This window comes from Homo sapiens, chromosome 12 (genome assembly GCF_000001405.40).
Source record: "Homo sapiens chromosome 12, GRCh38.p14 Primary Assembly".
Classification (NCBI taxonomy): domain Eukaryota; kingdom Metazoa; phylum Chordata; class Mammalia; order Primates; family Hominidae; genus Homo; species Homo sapiens.
The window spans coordinates 21,350,164-21,354,958 of NC_000012.12; the positions used below are offsets into that span (position 1 = coordinate 21,350,164).

Here is a 4,795-nt window from a genome sequence, read left to right on the forward strand (position 1 = left end):
TTAAGTAGTAAGCATAAAATCTTTAAAAATGTATATAGTCTTAAGACTTATGTATATAGTCTTAAGACTATAAAGTCTTAAGTTATTCTTTTTAGAATAACAAGAAAAAAATTGACAAGAGATTGTACAAAGGAATATTCACCACAGCTTTGTTTTAGTAAAGTACAAAAAAAAAGAGAGAAAAAATTAAATGTCCAATATTATGGAATTATTTTATACAAATACAATAAGAATAAAATATGGTTATTTAAAGTTACAAGGTAAAACATTATTAATATGGAAAAGTATTCATAGCATGTTCTTTAAAAAAAGGCACACACAAAAATGATCTGAATGGCACATTACTTTAAATTGACATGCAAATAAATACAAATTAAAAAGTAATGTTTCAGGCCGGGCACAGTGGCTCACGCCTGTAATCCCAGCACTTTGGGAGGCCGAGGCGGGTGGATCATGAGGTCAGAAGATCGAGACCATCCTGGCCAACATGGTGAAACCCCGTCTCTACTAAAATACAAAAAAAATTAGCCGGGCGTGGTGGCACGCACCTGTAGTCCCAGCTACTCAGAAGGCCGAGGCAGGGGAATCACTTGAACCCAGGAGGCAGGGGTTGTAGTGAGCCGAGATGGTGCCACTGTACTCCAGCCTGGTGACAGAGCAAGACTCTGTCTCAAAAAAAAAAAAAAAAAAAAAAAAAAAAAGTCATGTTTCTCTGGGAGGTGAAATTAGATTGATTTTTATTTTAATAGTTTTCTTACATATATTTCTGGGTTTTTTTAATAAGCATATACTGCGTAACTTAAAATCTCTTGTTACTTAGTGTTATAAATGAGGAACTAGAGATTCAGATATATTAATTTGCTCACAGCAACAACACAGCCTGTATTCCAACCCAGTTTGTCAGTCTCTAAAGCCCTGGCTCTTAACCATCACACTGTAATAACATGGTGCCTAAATGTGTACAAGGCACTATGGGGAGGCACTGAGTAAATAAGAAGTTAGCAGCTTGGAAGCCAATAGATAAGAAATATAGACAAATACGTGACATGGCAAAATGTGTTTTGTAACCTGAGAGGTACAAGCATGGAGGTCACAAAGTTCAATGTTTGCTTGGAATAAAAAACAAGTCAGTTGTCCTGTTTTACTAGTGCAGTTTCTCCAAGTGTGGTCTATAGTCCACCTGCAACATATTCCTAAACAGACCTGTTAAAGAAAAATCTCCATGCAGCTCAAGAAAGTTCAAATTACCTCCAGGAGCATCATACATTTGGTGCCTTGCATTTTTTTTAGATGCCTTATAATACTTATAAATACTACTAGTAAAATTTTAGGACAGGCGCAGTGGCTTGTGCCTGTAATCCCAACACTTTGGGAGGCCAAGGCGGGTGGATCACCTGAGGTCAGGAGTTCGAGACAAGCCTGGCCAAAATGGTGAAACTCCATCTCTACTAAAAAATACAAAAAATTAGCCGGGCATGGTGGTGGGCGCCTGTAATCCCAGTGACTCAGGAGGCTGAGGCAGGAGAATCTCTTGAACCCAGGAGGCAGAGGTTGCAGTGAGCCGAGATCACGCCATTGCACTCCAGCCTGGGCAACAAGAGCAAAATTCCGTCTCAAAAAAAAAAAAATCATAAAAATAAAAATGAAAGTTTAGGAATAGACCATTATTGAAGGGAATATACAGTGTGCCAAGACCAGGCTTTGTTACGTTTCTAAATATCTGAGGTCAGATAAATACTACACAAGCTCACCAACATCCCCTAATCCTTTGGGTCCCAGTTTAGATTGACTTTGAAATTGCCCTTAGGAGGACTTTTCCTGAATTTCAAAGAAGGTTAACAGTGTGTGGCATAAACGAAATCTCGGAATAAAATCTGAAGGACAGATTGAAAGGAATTCAAGATGCCTCCAGGGTCTCATACTCTCATGGAAAATATCAAACACCCAATTGCATCACCCCCATACTCACTCAAAAGGTCTACTATTTTATTTCATAGGTTGAAAGGTTAGAATTGGATCTCACCAAGCATTTCACTACAGACCAACATCCCCTAAACTGAACTGATCTCTGGAAATGCGAAGAGAGGAAAAACTAGGACAGGTGGACGGCAGCAGTTAGACAAAATTCTATGAGGTTTGAGCCATTAAAAGCCCTATAGGGCTTTAGTCTTACAACTCCAATGTCATAGTGTCTGTAAAATCTCAATTAATCTCATTCTATTTTTGCAGTAACTGGCTTATTACCATAGTTCCTCCCTTCACCTGATTTCAATAAGATCATCTGATCGAGGAATCCTCTAATTGAACATTTATTTGAATCTTCCTATTAATAGTGCTACTACAGCTATGTGTGGTTGTGTCTGAAAATACCAGCCATGAATCAAGAGTCCGTCAAGGCTGCCTACATATGAACACACTCTTTATTAATTAATACCTGTCATCTGTTGTTTATAGACAAAACTTTGTTGCTCTGGGCCTCTGAAACTCAAAATATTTGTTCAGAATACACAAGTGTTGGCTCTTCCATCCACAGCCAAAAGCATAATGCGAGAAATATCTTCAATCCATTTATGCTGAAACATTAAACTAAAAAATGTTTTTTCCTTGTTGCTTTACATGTTTGTTTAGTTCATTGTTTGGTTGATTGTTCTTGTAGGAACTGGGGGAAGTACATAAGGTGTATGCAAAAATATCTCAGTAAGCTTGGCCAGTTTGTCCCACTCAATTTACATTTAAAGTGAAACCACTGATCTTCAAAGACACTTTTGGCACAAGTTATTAAACTTTCGAACAGTGGTTATAAAATAGTTAGATTTCAACTTTAATTATATGCTACCTCTCTGAGCAGTGCTACAACAAAATAACAGAATATTCCCCCTTAAATAATTATAAGGTCTGTTTAAACATTCAAATTCGAATCAGAATTCCTTTGACTATACACATTACTGCTTAAAACCCCTATTATAATTTTAATCAAACACAGTATTCATTACCAAGAATTTATAACTAAGAGAAATAAATATTTGGAGCCTGTTAATTTTATCATATCTACTTAAGTTGGAAGTTACTTAGCAGGAGATCAAATTGCAATACAATTCAAACATAAACAACAGAAAGTAATAGTATTTTTAAAATGTTCCTAAATATGGAGCAAAACAAAATATATAAAAACAGAGTTTCAAAGAGCTAAAGATCTTCTGAACCAACATGAACAGTAATATTGCATAGAGGGAAAAAATGCTTAATCCTAAGACTTCTACTATATGGAAGGTTCGTAGCCTCTTTCTTTATTTTTGGGATGGTGCTCAGAAAAAAAAAAAAGAAAGAAAGAAAAGAAAAGAAACAAAAAGGCAAAGCTCAGTGGCTTTGGTAGGAGATAGCAGATTGCTGTGATGCACCTGATTATATCCCGTTTGTTCTCCCTTTTGGTTTAGCTCACATGTGAAAATCTCCTGTGGACAACTTGGTTTTTTTCCCAGAAGCTTGGTCCAATCCCTGTTTCCAATGCTGTCAGCATGAAAGGGACCAGGCAGCAGGGCCAAGCAGTTGCAGATCTGTGTGGATACTGCTTCAGGTGATGAAAGGGACATTGCTGACAAGTCAGTAGAGAGGAGAAAGCCAGGCTAATGGCTATTCTCAAGTGGTCATTCACAGCTATTTGCCAGTGAAAATTGAAACTTAAATTTCCCTAATTTACCTTCCCTAGAACTTCAATATTTCTTACAGTAAGTAATTTTTTAACTTCTTTATAACTCTCCCAGCAGTGTGGCAGCTTTGGTGTGTGACAAATGGAGGTTAGATTCTCCTGCTTACCACTTTCGAACATGAATTTGAAAAAGTTACTTAACCTCTCTAAACACTCAAATGCTCACTGTAAAAGGTAACATTAGGGTTGTTTGAAGATTATGGGAGACATTGCATAAGAATGTTCTAACACAATTCATGACATAAAACAGATTCTGAATAAACTGATATTTCCAAAGTCCACGTCCCTCCTCCCTAAAACACTAATGTCTCCACTACACTCATGATCCCAGTACCTCTCAGTCCTCTGCGGACACTGTGCCGACAATTATATTTTTCCTCTTCTTTCCTGGTGGCTACTGAAAAATCAACAAGCATTCAATGAACATGTGTTTAGTAAAAGCCAGGTATTTTTTTACATGTTACCTTAACCTACCCCTATCCTCTCCTGAAGGTATTGGTATTTCTCCTTTCTGCTGTGATGAAACTTCTTAAATTAGGTGACAATAAGTAAAGCCAGATAAAGATAGTTGTCAGAGGAAATGTGAATATCTAGATATTGCATTCAATATTTAGATTGTGTGTGCATGTGAGCATTTTCCAGAAAAAAAAATCAATTTTTTCCGTCATAGTCTCAAAAGATCCCTGACTCTCAATATGTTATGATACATTGAATCTATATTAGTAGTTGTTCAGGACTGTCCTGCTATTCCATTGTATCTGTTTCTGTCCTTACCTGAAAGCAGTGTAGCTATGGTCGTAGGGAAACTTTTACTTTTAAATTCAAATTTCTGTTTTTTAGCCTTCATCCTATGTTATTTATCTTTATCATGTAACACTCATAACAACCTTTCTTTCTTTGAATTTTTTCTTCATTTGATTGCTGACACTACTCATATCTCCCAATAAGTCATCTTTGAGCACTTCCATATCTTTCTTTGGCTCCTACTTCTCAGTATGACTCATGAATTCTGATGTTTCCTGGGATACTCTTTGTCTTAATTTACTGTTGTTGCACATGCACTCCTTGGATTATATACTCTATGGGCAA

General features: G+C 36.7%; 1 protein-coding gene across 7 annotated transcripts in view; it reads right to left on the reverse strand.

Annotated features, from left to right (window-relative positions):
* The window catches only part of SLCO1A2 (solute carrier organic anion transporter family member 1A2), a 155,035-nt gene that overhangs the window by 85,564 nt on the left and 64,676 nt on the right, over positions 1-4,795 (reverse strand). The window lies entirely within an intron of this gene.